Source organism: Homo sapiens, chromosome 14, assembly GCF_000001405.40.
Source record: "Homo sapiens chromosome 14, GRCh38.p14 Primary Assembly".
Lineage (NCBI taxonomy): Eukaryota > Metazoa > Chordata > Mammalia > Primates > Hominidae > Homo > Homo sapiens.
In genome coordinates, this window is record NC_000014.9 from 26,790,009 (window position 1) to 26,806,527 (window position 16,519).

Sequence of the window (16,519 nt, forward strand, 5' to 3'; positions counted from 1 at the left end):
CAGAAGTAAAGCATTTTACAAATTTATATATTAAACAAATAGCCCTTGAATTATGTCTCAGGTGCCTTTCAAGCACTATGGTGGATTTCAGGATGTAATATGATTTTTAAATTGTTAAGATAACAATATCTAAAGATTAGGTATATATAAATATTACCACTTTTTTGATACCTGTTACTTAACAAATGAGAGTAATTTCTTCATGATGCTAACTTTTAAGAGGGGGAAAAACCCTGTGTTTAAAGCTATATTTACTTTAAAGTTAAAATTTTATAAGTATTCAGAAATGCATCTTTTTAAATATAGAAATTACTAAGTTCATTTAATGACTAATATAAAAATTAGTCTTTAGATATGTTGTTTTATATTTTAAAAAGTCAGCCAGTTGCGGTGGCTCACACCTGTAATCCCAGGACTATGGGAGGCCGAGGTGGGCAAATCACAAGGTCAGGAGTTCAAGACCAGCCTGGCCAATATGGTGAAATCCCATCTCTACTGAAAAATTAGGCAGACGGGGTGGCGCATACCTGTTGTCCCAGCTACTCAGGAGACTGAGTCAGGAGAATCCCTGGAACCCAGGAGGTGGAGGTTGCAGTGAACCGAGATCACACCACTGCACTCCAGCCTGGGTGACAGAGTGAGACTCCATCTCAAAAAAAAAAAAAAAAAAAAAAGTCAAAACTGGAGACTCAAAGCCCTCTGTTTTAGGCACTTTCTGATGGTAAGTGCTTCCCAAATTTAGGTTGAAAATATGAGCATCTAACTGTCCATTGACATCGTTATAATATCAAAATCTTGATGAGGCTATCAATGCCTTGGTGAAAATTGTTATAGTGAGGACACTCCCCCGCCAATCCTCCATTTAGCTCATGATGACAAAATGAGCCTTAAGTTTGTAAGTTTGGCACTTTCAGGGATACAATGACTGTATATTGTACTCCTCTGTTGTGTTCCGCAAAAAGTAAAGTGTGAACTAATCCTCTGGTAGTCTAGTAGCACTTTAGTAGCTACTGGATAAAATGACTTTCTAAGTTAATGTACTTTCTTATTAACAAATGTCAGAAATTAAGATATGGAGAGAGCTCGAGGTTGGAATTTTCCTCTCATAGGAACACATCTCTTAGCTCTTATGGGTTTAACAAACTTTTAATATTTTAATGAAGGCTTTTTATGTGCGTATACTACTTAATATTTCAAATTAAGGTCTGTTCTTTTCCTGACATGCACATGCCACTCCATTATGAACCATCAAGAAGAGTGTGGTAGAAAAGCCTCTATCTGTATGGAACAGCACATGCCTTAAGCACAGAAGGTCAACAATTGCGCTTTGACTAAGCCAGGGCTACTTAATGAGAACTTCAATGCTTCAGCAAAAGTGTTTTATATTTTAGTCAAAGCACCAGAGTTGGATAATGATAAGTTTCAATATGTTCCCATTCAAAAATAATTTCATAGTTATTTTAATGTCATTCTCCGCTTTTAAAAGAACAACACATGCAATCTGTGGTGTGAGGGTTACCTCAGGATTTTCAGAAAAGCAGATTTTAAACTTTAATGGGTAGTGTAACTTGGTTAACTGTCACAATCTGTTTCCATTCAGATGCTAATGACCTAAATTCACTGGTTTCGTTCCTTTCACTAAGGGTCAGTGGTCTACCACTAGGAAAGAGAGATTTTAAAATCTGAAGAAAAAAAAAGAAATCTTTAGCTATGTAATAACAATAATTAAATGAACAAATAACTAGGAATACTTGTTTAAGAAAGAAAAAAATGTCCTAGCAAACTAGAGTAATTTCTTCACTGCACTAACTTTTAAGAGGGGAAAAGAAGCACCTTTATTTAAAGCAAAATCTATTTTAAAGTAGAATTTTTAGAAGTATTCAGAAATGCATCTTCTTTAATATAAAAATTAATATAGGAATTAATGACGATATAATGCCATTTCTAGTGATGAACAAATGAATGCATTGGGACAAAATACTGCTTGAGTAAATCTGATCCTTAGGAAACTTCCCAAGCATTTTTATTTGCCTTCCAGAGGAAATAACTAGAAATACTTCTGGCCCAACATTACAGACACTAATGGCATTAGTATGGTCCTGAGAGAACTGCTTCTCTGAATTATTGTGAAGAAGGAAAGTACCTGGATGGTTCATCAAAAATCACACATCTTATTTAAGGAATAATTAGGGAAGAGATGTAGAGGTATACTGCTCCCGTTAAGAAAATGTTGAATTGACAGTCTCTTGACTAGAGTTAATGTCAGAGCAAACTGATGAGAATGACAACCTAATGATATATTTGAGAGATTCTAAGCTAAATATTTGAAAATTAAATTATGCATCCATGAGTGCTACCACTGGTGCTTTATTCTCTAAATTAAGGCACATCTCATGAGTCCTGCAAAGATCCAAAGTGAAAAGAATCCAGGAGACTATATAGCACATACTCCTGATTTAATAATGAGGAAGCTGGAGGCTCAGAGGCTTATATTGGGTTATCACCTATTAACACCTTACTGTAAAGTTTATCACATCCTTTACACATGATAACTGGCTGTCAATGTTTTGTTAATGAAGACGTTGTTCAGGAATCAAAAGCAACAACTAAAGCTTTGAAATGTGGGCCAGTTATCTATTTCTGTGTAACAAACTACTGCACAAGTCAGGTCTCCAAAGCTATAATCATTTTATTATGCTCATGGTATGACTCAATTACTGGAGGCAATTTGAAGGGGTGAAGGCTGAAACAGTTTGGGCTGGAGGACACCCTTTAAAAATGATCTCTTTATTCACATCTCTAGCAGGTAGAGTGGATGGCAAAAGAATGGACATAGTTAGGAATGTTGATGGGGGAATCTACATGACTCCACCCCAAGTCAGCAGTTTTACACTGTTGTTTAGGGCTCCAAGAGCAAGTGTACCAGTAAGGAAGGTGAAAGCCTGGATAGATATTTTTATGACCTAGTTGTGGAAGCCACATAGTATATTCTAGCGGTAAAAGCAGTTATAAACTTGCCCAGATTAAAGGAGAGGTGCTGTGGACCTCATATCACAATGGGAAGAGTGTCAAAGCATTTGTGTTTTTAAACTCTGTCAGTGTGGGATAGACTGGAGAAAGACAACAGTGGTCCAGGTGAAAGCCCGATGAGCAGTGACATTCATCGTATGCTTTCTCAGCTAGTATCTCTGGTTGTTATTTTTCATTTAGAAGTAAGTGAAAAGGAAAAAGAATATCAAAAAGACAAAATCTGTTTCTTAAAATTCTGTTGTCATTTTTGTTAAATAATGTCGTGGGGTATTTTTTCCCCAGCTTTTTTTGTAGAAAGCCGGGATCTAGTGTCTTCTTGACAACCAGCGGTAATAACAAGAAGATGAACATTTCGGGGAGAAAAAAAGGAGAATATTTAGATCATAGTGATTAAAAAAATTATAACTCAGGATATCTTGCCTAAAGATTTTACATTGCTATAAGCGAAAACTGGGCAAAATACTTTTTCTTTGTTGAGCTTGAAACTTTCTTTTCACCTTACCTTTCCATTTCTTTTCCACTATAAACACAAGGTTATAAATCTTATAGTAAGGCAAAATAAATTGGCATAGCTATTTAAAGAGAATGAGTGATGAATGGGACAAAGGAATTGATTTAATTAGAATGAATCCTTCAACCTAGTCAAGATTCCTTTTATTGCTTGAATGAGTTTGGATGTCCATTGGCAGTCTGCTGAACTAGGCAGGTTTTTTCGAAGTAGGAGATTTAGGCCTATAGTGAGGGCCATTTAAATGGTTAGGAAAAGACTTGAATAAAATTTGGCGGGTTAAATTTTTATGGCTGTCATTATAGCTAGGCCCAAGCCCCTAAAACTGAAATGGGTCAAGTGTTATTTGAGGGAGAGTTAAACTAGGAAGCTATGGATAGCCATCTTTTGTTATATAAATATGAAGAAGCAGTAAAATACTATATGGAGATGGATTAGAGATCGAAGGGAAGGGGTGGAGAGACAGACATAAATGAAAAAAAAAAATGTGCAGACAACCAGAGATGAAATATCTGGCTCCACAAAGATGTAGAAGGAGACCCTGTCTCACTTCCCAACATCATTCCAGTTTCCTGGTTTTAGTTGCTTATTAAATATGGAAAGTATATAGAAAAATTTTATTTCATTTCAGTGAAATAGTTATGTACCCAAAATTAATTTACACCATTTAAAAACAGTTAATTTGTTTGAATTTGTATTTTTTTTGTACCAAAATTGTACTATGACTTACCTCTCATGTGCAAAGCAAGATACTGAATACTGTGAATGCAGATGTGGTTAACAAAAATGAATCAGACACTGATAGTCTCCTCATGGAGTCCAAAAACTGAGAAAGGAAATAAGCTGTACACAAATAACAGTACTGCAGTGTGTATTGCATAAAATCACTTAAAAAAAGGAAAATTCAGTTAACACCAAGGTTGGAATTTGAAATACATTTGTGATCAAAATGCATCAAAATACCTGTTCTTGTAGATCTTATATTCTAGTAGAGAGAGACGCAAAAAATACACAAAAGTAAATTATATAGCATATTAGAAGGCCATTAATACCATGGTTAATGAATAAAACAGATACAGCTGATCAACAGTATAGGATAGAAAAAGATACATTTTTAAATAGATGGTCAGAATAGACCTCACAGAGAAGGTGGCATTTATGAAAATACTAGAGGTGAGGAAATTAGCTATGAGGATATTTTGAAGGACATTCCAGGCAGACAAACTAGTCACTGGAAATGCCCATAATGGAAGTTAGCTTGGTGTATGGGAGGAATATCAAGGAGACAAGTGCAGCTTGAGTAGAGTGAATCAGACAGAAAGGGAAAACCACAAGGTGAAAGAGGCAATGGGAATGACAGATCACGTAGGCCTTTGCAGACTATTGGCTGCTGTATGACGAATGGTAAGAATAGAATCTTGGCAAGTAGCTAGAAGGATGTTGCAAAAACCCACACAAGTGGATAATGGTGGACAAAACCAAGTGATAGTAGGGGAATTTCTGAGAAGCAGTTTGATTCTGGATAAAGTTTGAAGATAGAGTCAAAAAGATTTCCTGGGGGATTGGACAGGGTTTGTGAGGGAAAGAAAGGCAGATAAAATGTTACTGCAAGTTTTTGGCCTGAGTAACTGCAAGGATGATATTATCACTTGAGAGAGGAAAGAGTATTTGTGGATGGAAGATCAGGAGTTCAGTTTTGGACAGGTTATGTTTGAAAGGTATATTAAACATTCTGGAGGAGATATCAAGTATGCAGTTGGTACCATAGGTCTGGAACAAAGAAGAGAAGACTGGGTAGCATAAATCAACTTTATGAGACATTGCAAATAGATGTTTAAGGCCATTAGGTTGGATGAACTCACCAAAGAAGTGAGTGCAGATAAAGAAGAGGATTTATCAGGGATTCAACACTAGGGTTTCCAACATTAGGAGGTTGATTCAAAGAGAGAATGCTGCATGTGCAGAGTATAGAAAAATTCTTTTATGTAAAGTAAGATTGTTTTGAATAGGGAACAGTTCATGTTATTTCATGGAAGAAATAACATTTTAATTAAGTCCTAAGAGTAGGAAGGATTTTGAGTGAGTAAAATTTGGGGATTGAGAGTTATGTCATAGAAAAAAGGAATAGAATGAGCCATATATGAATGAGGACAACAAGTATGTCACCCTGACTAGTTAATAGTATGCATCAAGGTTTTGCAGTAGGTTATATAATTTATATAAAGTAGACTATGCTGAAACCAGTTGAGAAAAATGAAAGGCCTTTGCACACAGAATGATAAGGTGGGATGGTGCTTTAGAAAGACTAATCTAGCAAGCAGCATGGTATGGGTTAGTTTAAAAGGGGTTGAGTTTTGTTTACAAAAAGTGGTTTAAAGAATAAATAAAATTGTTAGAGTAGGTAGCTAGTCAGGTATGAGCAGGGCAGGAGAGGGCTCCCCACCAACACACACCAGGAGTGTTGACCATCACGTGATGGTCAGGCAGTTGTTAACTGTTTCTCTGAAGTAATAATTGATTGTAGCCAGCACCAGGGAAAGGCAGTCTCCTGATAGACAGAAAACACCTGAAACTGATCAGCAGCTTCCCAATAAGGTCTCAGGAGTCGGGAGAAGTAAGGCAAGGTCCCAGAAGCAGGCCAACGTATAAAACCCCAAGTCACTTGGTTTCTCAAGTTGCCCGCTTGGCCCTCTTCCAGGTTGTACTTTCCTTCTTTTCTTTCCTTTCCTTACTATTCTAAAACTTTTTAATATACTTTCACTTCTGCTCTGAAACTTGCCTCAGTCTTTTTTTCTGCTTTATGCCACTCAGTCGAATTCTTTCTTCTGAGGAGGCAAGAATTGAAGTTGCTGTGGACCTGCCGGTAACTCCGGGTAACTCTGATCTCTGCCAATGCTAACAAAATGATATATAAGAAAATGTATCAATTAGCAAGAAAAGCAGCCTTGAAAGTCAATACAGGAGGCACAGTTTACCTCTGCTACTCATCCTGGACAATTGCAGGCTGTGGTCTACTTTGCCTCATTATTGAATATTAATAGTAGGATAAGGTGTTCTATTAATACATGGTTTACAAAGATAGCATTAATTGATAATGTCTGAATCCACGGTTTTGGTCAGAATCATAGATATTAGGTAGATACATACATACATACATGTATACATAGAGAAAGAAGAAAGAGAAAGAAGGAGGCCACTGGGTGCTCATATATTTGGTCAAACATTATTCTGGGTGTGTCTGTGAGGATGTTTCTGGATGCGATTAACATTGGAATAGGTGGACTGAGTAAAGCAGATTGCACTCCCTAATGTCAGTCAGCATTATCTAATCAGTTGAAGGTGTGACTAGAACAAATTGTTGGCCCTTCTATGATTAAGGGGGAACTCCTTCTAACAGCCTTTGAGCTGGGACCTCAGTTTTGTTTAGGTCTTGAACCTGGGACTACACCATTGGCTCTCCTGGATCTCCAGCTTGCTGATTGCAGATCTTGGGACTTGTCAACCTTCATAACTGCATCAGCAAATTCCTTATAATTAAGTCGTATATCTATACATCTATACATCTATACATTTTCTATTGGTTCTGTCTCTCTGGAGAAACCTGACTAGTATACTCACTAAAAAATTGGAGAAATTATCAAATAGGTGTGATCAAAGGAAAAGTTATTCTAGTAGAGTGTGGCCTTGTACTAGGTGATAATTTCTTAATGCCATTGCTGGAATGGTAACTTTCATACTAGCAGGTGAAGACTACCAGTCTTTCACTTTGTAATTGCACTAGCTTGCACCTGAAGTACAGGCTCTGTTCTATAGCTGTAGCTATTGCTTTAACTTGCGTTCTACTGTGTTATGCTGTGTAATGCTGAAACTGAAAAAGTGTTTTTCTCATTCAGTGTGTGGCCTATATGATTCCTGCTATTAACAGGAAATCAGTTTCTCTCTAGGCCCTGTGGCATTTATCATTTTGGACCCTATCTCTCTCCTATCTATATTGGACTATGGTGGCACACAGAGTGTTGTAGGTAATCTTTACGTTACTTATTTTTTGTGTACTCCCTCAGTACCCCTAGAGTATAAGGATAATTCGTTTAAGCAGGTTGTCTGTTTTGCTTAGTAGTATATTCCCAGTGCCTAAAACAGTGTCTGACACATAGGAAGTACTCAACAAATATTTGATGATTAAATGGCTGAATGAAAGACTGAATGTGGGGGGATAAGGCTTTCAAGTTAGATGCAGCATGTTGAAAGCTTTTATACTATGAAGCTATTTTTAACCCTAAACTACTCCTAGTTTTGTATGATTAAGTATTGCTCCTAGAGAGGACAATCATAGTTCCATTTTAAAGTTCTTTTTTTTTTCTTTTTAGAGATGAGGGTCTCATCCTTTTGCCCAGGCTGGAGTACAGTGGTGTGTATGTAGCACACTGCAGCCTTCAACTCCTGATCCTCCAACCTCAGCCTCCACAGTTGCTGGGATTACAAGTGTGAGTCACCATGCCCAGCCCATTTAAATGTTTTTGTATCATCTTTAAGATATTGTAAATTAAGAGAAGATTAACCTGTTTAGGTTATGTGTTCAAAAGGAAAAAGCCAGGATCAAGAAGAGACTTGAAAAGGTTTTACAGAGAATACTCTAATACAGTGAACTATTTATACCAATGTTGACAAAACCTAATATAGTATAATGGGAAGGAGATAATGATGGCAGTAACAGTGAAATGGGGGTACATGGTGTAGATGTTAAATACTGCAGTGGGAAAATCAATATGGCCTCCCAACTGACTATTTTGATGGAGGCAAGGTCTATGAAGTTCAAAAAAAAAAAGAAGAAGAAAAGGCTGGATATGGTGGCTCAAGCCTGTAATCCCAACACTTTGGGAGGCTTAGATGGGAGGATAACTTGAACCCAGGAGTTTGAGACCAGCTGGGCACCATAGTGAAACCCCATCTCTACCCAAAATAAAAAACTTAGCCAGACACTGTGGTGTGCACCTGTGGTCCCAGCTATTTGGGAGGCTGAGGCAGTAGTATCCCTTGAGCCCAGGAGTTTGAGGCTGCAGTGAGCTATAATTGCACCATCACACTCCAGCCTGGGTAACAGTGAGACAAAAAAAAAAAAGAAAAAGAAAAAGAAAAAGAAAATCAAACTCTAAAAACTCTTAAGTTGAAAGCTTGGATGAGTAGAGAAAACGCCCAAGCCATTAACTGAAGTAGGGAATTAAACCGGATAATTCATTTTAACTAGGAATTTGGGAAATTCAACTTTATGAATATGGCCTTTGAGATTCTGTTATGGTCTCAAAATAGATTAAACAAATAAGTAATTTGAAATGAGAATGAAGGAGTAAAGTGATGGTGGATGTAGACTTGCTGGTGGGCCATAGAGAAATCACTTTTTTTTTTTGGAGATGGAGTTTCGCTCTTGTTGCCCAGGCTGGAGTGCAGTGTTGCTATCTCAGCTCACTGCAACCTCCACTTCCTGGGTTCAAGAGATTCTCCTGCCTCAGCCTCCCGAGTAGCTGGGATTACAGGCACCTGCCACCATGCCCGGCTAATTTTTTGTATTTTTAGTAGAGATGGGGTTTCGCCATGTTGGCCAGGCTGGTCTTGAACTCCTGAACTCAGGTGATCCGCCTGCCTCAGTCTCCCAAAGTGCTGGGATCACAGGTGTGAGCCACCGTACCTGGTGATAAATAATATTTAAAGCCACTAAATATTTAATATTTAGTGAGAGAGAGCTCGAGAAGAACAATAACGAAAAAGGAGGAGATAAGGGAATGGGGTGAAGACACATATATTGAGGAAAAGAAGCCAAGAGAAAAGACAGAGAAAAAATGGCTGTAGAAGTCAGAGGAAAACAGAAAGGGACAGGGTCAGGCAATCATAATTGGAAGGAGAATCTTCCATAATAGCTCTCAGGTCATAGAGGAGAAAAATTTTTAAAAATTTTAAAAAGTATATAAAAAAGTATACAAAAGTATATTTTTAAAGTATATAAAAAGTATATAAAAATATGTATAATATATAATATAATATAGAATATAGAATAATATATTTATATATAATTATAATATATATTTTTATATAATTATATATAAAATTTAAAAAGATATATATATTTGAGTTGATGACTATGTTATTGTTTGTTTGTTTTTTTTGAGACGGAGTCCCGCTCTGTCGCCCAGGCTGGAGTTCAGTGGCACGATCTCGGCTCACGGCAACCTCCGCCTCCCGGGTTCACGTCATTCTCCTGCCTCAGCCTCTCCGAGTAGCTGGGTCTACAGGTGCCCGCCACCACGCCTGGCTAATTTTTTTTTGTATTTTTAGTAGAGACGGAGTTTCACCATGTTAGCCAGGATGGTCTCGATCTCCTGATCTTGTGATCCGCCCGCCTCGGCCTCCCAAAGTGCTGGGATTACAAACGTGAGCCACCGCGCCCGGCCGACTATGTTATTGTTAAACTTTAAGAGAACAGGTTAAATTTTGTGGCAGGAATTACAAAGGGACAAAGAGCAAATAAGAAAAAAAAAAAGAGAGAGAGAAAGCTGGGGTAAATGAATCTTTACTGAAATTTAGCTGTAACAGCTGTAAATAACACTGGAGGTATGTACAAAAATACACTCCTTGATGAATCCCAGTAATTCTTTTGGAATGATTACCAACTTTTGATTTGAATCTGTGCTAAAATACCTGGAATACTTTAGGCCTTTTTGACTTTTTGGTCTATAAGTTCTTTTGTCTCAAGGAAGCTTGTTTTTGAGAGTCTCAATCAATTGTCCTCTTTGGTCAATTTACAGGATAGCACTGCAGAGTCCATCTGAATACACAGACAATATGTATGAGAGTTAATTAAGGAAAGTATTGATGAAAGCATAATTTGTTTCTGAAGCTTATCAACTGAAATGGATATTAATCCAAGGTCCTGCACAATAGCAGACTTGACACATCTATTTCCTGGGGAAACAAATTATATTTATTTTTGAAATATTATTCATAAGACTTTACTTGAACTTGATAAATGTAACTGTCTTGATGATATCATCCACACACTTTTTTGTTATGTGAGAGACTATACTGATATCTAGGCAATGATATAGACTTACAGTGGGTTATCGTAGCATGATAGAGGCTGGGGCTACCAGTAAGCAACTCAGTTTTGCAAGGTAACCTATTGTGCATCTGTCTGCACGGAGAAGTCAATCTTTTTGTAGATTTTAAGTATTCTTAAATTTATGTTTTCCATTTGTTCATCAAAGCAAATATTTATTGTTCAAACTTTCATTTTTCTGTACCATTACATTTTCTTAATAACATCTGGAAGACATTTCTTAATGTTAAATTAAAATATTAGCAAGAAGCTTACACATGTATGACCTAAACTGTAAGCTGAGGAACTGAGTCCTATTGCAGTAAGTAATATTTTGTGCGCTGAAGGGAGGATTTATTACTAAACTTGAACATTCACAATGAGCAATGTCACTCTCATTGGCTGACATATCCAGCTTTTTTTCTGGATTTTTCACTTAGCTATAAGTTCAATAAGAATTTTTCGTACATCTTCTGTCAAGAAAAATAGAGTAATCTCATCAAAACTTGGCATAGCAAGAATTTGAAGTGTTATTTTTTGACTATTATAGTAAATGAATGACAGAAATAATATATGTTGTCATGACTATTATTTCTTTGCTTTTGAGATAGGAAAATTTTCTTTTATAATTAGGTTATTTTAGTTAAACTATTTGCATGTAATTGTTTATACAACTGACTCCTAAAATACATTCAGGGAATTCTTAAGTCATTATTAATAAAAAATGCTTTGCAAAATAGAGACATATGATGTGAAACCTCATAAATATCCTCAGTCTGTATCCTGATAAAATAAGCAGAGAAAGATTAACAAATACATAAACTTTACATAACATATACATAAACTTTATTTTTTAGCCATCAAAAATCTATGGATATGCATTGTTTTTCTGAGAATTTGTATTCAGGAAAAGATGCTTTGAAAGGTATAGTTTAAATGGATGTTCCTATAGAAACCATGTTACCATAGAAAGTCACTTTCCTGACCAAAGACATGATGCCTAACTTCTAGAAGAAATGATTACTGGTATCATAGATAACAAATTAAAAGTAATATGAACTGTCTTTTACTTGGAAGACTTTCCAAAGATATACACATCAGCTAAACAGAGTGGTGCAATAGCTAATCTTACTTCTAATTAATGAATGAAATGATCAATAGAAGTGAATGTGCAGGTCAAGGACAGAAGGTGGGGACAAGAGAAAACAGCCAAAGTTCCCCTGGGAGTGAAGGCCAGACAGTTTCCAAGATGGAGCCAGGACTTGGCAAGGCTTCATGGAAGAAGCTTGTGGGCAGATGGCATGAGACCGTTCACAAATCACTGCTGGTGGTGCCTTTAATATTGTAGATATTTTTAAATCTTAGATGTACCCATTATGTGGTAGATACGCATGTGTTTTCGAAAAAATACAGTGACATCTTTATTTGTCTGTATGTGTGATGATCCCCTTCTCTTTACCTAAATGACATTGTGCTTTAGTTAGGTATTTTTCCATTTCCATTTTTTTTTTAACTCAACGGTATGTTTTTAAGATTCTTCCACAATGCTCTCAGCAATCCAGTTCATTGCTTCTACAAGCTGCTTGATATATTAGGATATTGATTTAATGCCATTTACTCTTGCCTCCATGGTATAATCAAGCTCTGGAAATTGAGTTGTTTTTTTTTTTACTTCAGTGAATTCCTGGACTGTCTTATAAACCTAAATAATAATTGAAAATTGTATTACTCTTAATTCTACTAAAAAATATTGAAATACAGGCAGTCCCTAACTTATGATGGTTCGGTTTACAATTCTTTTACTTTACAATGGTGTGAAAGCTATATATATTCAGTAGAAATTGGACTTTGAATTTTGAATTTTGATTATTGGGCTATGAATATGTGGTATGATACTGTCTCTTGATGTTGGGCAGAGACAGTAAGCCGCAGTTCCCAGTCAGCCAGGCAATCATGAGGGTAAATGCCAGTACCCTATGGTGTACTGTGTTGCCAGATGATTTTGCCCATCTGTGGGCTAATGTAGTGTTCTAAGCATAGTAATGTAGGCTAAGCTAAGCTATGATGTTCAGTAGGTTAGGTATATTAAATGCATTTTCTACTCATGATATTTTCAATTTATGATGGGTTTCTCAGGATGTAACCCCATCATAAGTCAAGAAGCATTTTAAAATAGGGACTATTTAGATAGAGTTTTAAAATATTTTGCAATCCTTGAAGTTACAAACCAAGTTTTTAATTTACTGAAATTGATTTAGAACCATCTGCATAAGATCTATCTTGTTGGTCTTTTTTCCAACTTTTATTTCAGATTTAGGGGATACATGTGCAGGTTTGTTACATAGACAAATGTGTGTTCCAGAGGTTTGGTGTACAGTTTATTTCATTACCCAGGTTATGAGCATAGTACATGATGGTAGTTTTCTGATCCTCAGCCTCCTCCCATTCTCAACCCTCAAGTAGGTGCTGGTGTGTCTCTTGCTGCTTTCTTTGTGTCCAAGTGTACTCAATGTTTAGTGCCCACTTTTAAGTGAGAACATGTGGTATTTGGTTTTCTGTTCCTGCATTAATTCACTTAGGATAGTAGCCTCCAGCTGCATCCATGTTTTTGCAAAGGACAAGATTTTGTTAATTTTTATGGCCATGCAGTATTCCATTCACCTTGTTTTTATATTATACATATAAACAAAAGCATCTCTAAATGATGTTTCTCAAGATACACAGTGAACTACAGGATGGAATCAACAAAGGATTTTACTGTAATCTATGTTTAGGAAACATAGGAGGTTACTTATTAAATATATTAGACATAAAAGCTCTGAAAAAAGAACAAAGCTTTTAGCACTAGAGTGATGCTTAAGAACATTGCCCTATAGTAGTTAGATTCTGCAAACCCAGGTGGAACCTTATTTCATATCTTAGCTCTAACATTTGCTACCTGTGTCACATTTGGCAAAGTTCTCTGCCTCTGTTTCTTTATCACTAAAGATTATTACTAAATTAAAATATGTTGCTTTTGGTAAAATTCTTAGGACATTACCTGATACATTATAAACCATACATATATGGATGATGAGTATAAAATCATTCACAAAAATACCTTTAACCTATTGTGGTTGATTCTAATATTTTTTTACTCAGTTTAATTTTCCTATGAACAGTGATGGTCATATGTACTACATTGATATAATGACTCATGATATACAATTTTAAAAAATTAACACAGATTGTTATCTTCTTGGAAAATCATAATGTACAGAAACCATTTAAAAATGTGGAGATGTCCTGCAGAGAAAAGAAAACCCTACTTATCATTTCTTAGACAGCACTTCTAAAGTTTACTTGTTCATAGAAATCTTTTCATCTAAACCAGGTTTAGCAGATCAAATTCTAAGATGGACTCCCCACAAGATTTCCTGCCTTAACCTTTTGATTTGTGAATGTAACAAAAGAGTATGCCCTGGTTGTGTTACCTTACATTGAAAAAGTGATTTTTCGGATGTAACTAAAGTCACTGAACAGTTGACTTTCAGCTAATCAAAAGGGAGACTATTCTGGTGGGCCTAACCTGATCACATGAGCCTTTTGATAGCAGAGTTAGTTTTCTCTAGTTGGCAGCAGAAAGAAAATCAGAGAGATTCAAAGTGTAAGAAAGATGTTGCATGCTGTTGTGTTCATGGCTTTAAAAATGGAAGGGGCCACATGCAAGGACCAAACAATTGCCTTTAGGAGCCTAGGGTAACTGCCATCCAATAGCCAGCAAGGAACTGAATTCTACCAACAACCTGAGTGAGTTTAACAGTAGATTCTTCCCTACAGCCTACAGATTGGCTGATACTTTGATTTTGGATTTGTGAGGCCCTGAGCAGAGAATCCAGGCATTTGCGCCCAGACTTTTGAACTAATGAACTGTGGGATAATAAAGAGATGTCACCTTCAACTAATAAATTTGTGGTAATTTGGTACACAGTAATAGAGAATTAATACACCAGAACACAACTCTAAATCAAAATACGCCAACAATAAAAGAGTAAGTGCAATTTCAACATGAAAAGAAAGATGTAAGAGAGGATTTCATGTTGTTTTCAAGTTTGGTTATGCCTTACTGGTACAAGAAAGCAAAAATGTCAGTTTGTGAAGGGGTAGCATTGTTTTACATACACTATGTTTTAAAAACAACACCCTATAAAAAGTAGCAGCAATAAAGCAAGGCAAGAACAAATAAAATTACCAACTCCTTTTTGTGGACTTACTCTGTTTCTTGTGTCTGGAAAGACTTTTCCACTATTCCACCACCTCAAAAAGAAATCCCATAAACCTTTAACTATCAAACCCTTACCCCTTTTTCCTTCCTTGGCTGAAAACAACCACTGTCTCCATAGATCTTTCTATTGTGGACTTCCTATGAATAGATTCATATCATATATGGACTTTTAAAACTGGCTTATTTCACTTAGCATAATGTTTTCAGTCATATCAATCTTGTAGCATGTATCAACACTTCATTTTTTATGGCCAAGTAATATGCCATTGTATAGATATACCACATTTATTTATCTATTTGTACATTGATGAACATTTGGGTTGTTTCTATCTTTTGGCTATTATAAATAACTGCTATAAACATTTGTGTACAAGTTTGTGTATGAACATATGTTTTCATTTCTATTGGATATACCCTAGGAGTGAAATTTCTAGATAATATCTGAATTCTGTTTAATCCATTCAGGAACTACCTGACTTCATAGAAAATTCACCATTTTACATGCCCATCATCTCTGTATTTCATTCCAGGATGTTCTTACCCCAGAATTTACTAACTAGGTTTCCTTTCTTTGGAAGATTCTTAGTCTTCAATAAGCAGCATCATGACTTTTCCATGATGCTCTTCCATCCTGATGCAAGTGCAGTTATTCCATAGCTTTCCACCTTATGATCTCCATCCATTTACCTCCCTATCACACACACAGTTCTATAGCATGATCATTGTGTTAGTTAAGGTTTCTGTTCAGAAAAAACAAAACCATGCAGAAAGAGGCTTTCTACAGGGAATTACTTTTTTAGAAAAGCATTGCAAGCAGATTATCATTAGACTTTTTGCTATAAGATCGCAAATCCCTGCTATTCCCAGGGCTACTTCCACTGCCATCATATATGCTGATGGTTGATGACAAGGGAGCAGAACGTTCAGCCTGTCTGAAGCAAAAACCTTCCTGTCAAAACTTGCTTGCCAGCCACCACTGCCCCTAAATGCCATGTGAATGCAGCTAATTCACATCTAGAAACCCGGTTTCCAAAGGAGTCTATGTTGTATGATTTTTATCCTCCTAACCTCTCCAAATAAGAGAGTAAAATGATGTATGATAAAACAAGTTCAAGTAACTACCAGTTTATATGTAGTTGAGTTCATTTCTCTGGTTGTTCCTCAGTGACTTTGGAGTGTCTCATCCTCAAACCCCACATCCCTTCACACTTGGCAATAGCTGCAGTTCTACCTTGGTCTGTTAAGAATTATGCGGGTGGTGGTGGGGGAATTGGGGGGAAATGTGCCTCGCCTATGGAACAGTATCGTTGACTATTTATTTCTTTTATTTCCTCTCAGTCAAGTTGGTGTGTATCTGCAAAGGCGATGGAAAGGAGTTCTTACATATGCATATTCTGAAGAAGGATGTTACCCTTACTGAAAAACTTATTCCAAGATATGTTTAATCAATCATGAGAAAAATAAAGAGACATCCTTATGAATGGAGAATAAAGTCCTCAGGGTTTTTTTCTAATTCCCCATGTGAATGAAGAGCTGTGTTATTCTAAATATAGTGTTTGTCATAAGGCAATTGTGTTGGTTTGAGTCCTTAGTCGCTGTGACACTGATAGAATTCCTATCTCCAATTGGA

The 16,519-nt window shown here is 36.4% G+C and overlaps 2 long non-coding RNA genes across 2 annotated transcripts in view, besides 1 other annotated feature; one reads left to right on the forward strand and one right to left on the reverse strand.

The window, feature by feature from the left end:
* The window catches only part of NOVA1-DT (NOVA1 divergent transcript), a 207,821-nt gene extending 191,362 nt beyond the window's left edge, over positions 1 to 16,459 (forward strand). The window contains exon 7 of the long non-coding RNA NR_147061.1: positions 16,228 to 16,459. This is a non-coding gene — a long non-coding RNA (NOVA1 divergent transcript). The remainder of the gene's footprint in view (positions 1 to 16,227) is intronic.
* LINC02294 (long intergenic non-protein coding RNA 2294) overlaps positions 1 to 16,519 on the reverse strand; it is a 46,626-nt gene that overhangs the window by 14,514 nt on the left and 15,593 nt on the right. The window lies entirely within an intron of this gene.
* Positions 906 to 1,414: an enhancer, noted in NCBI's record as "OCT4-NANOG hESC enhancer chr14:27260120-27260628 (GRCh37/hg19 assembly coordinates)". NCBI's record gives its function as "activates a minimal SCP1, AML or CMV promoter by ChIP-STARR-seq in primed H9 embryonic stem cells {active_cell/tissue: H9 hESC(primed)}" and the evidence as "EXISTENCE:reporter gene assay evidence [ECO:0000049][PMID:30033119]".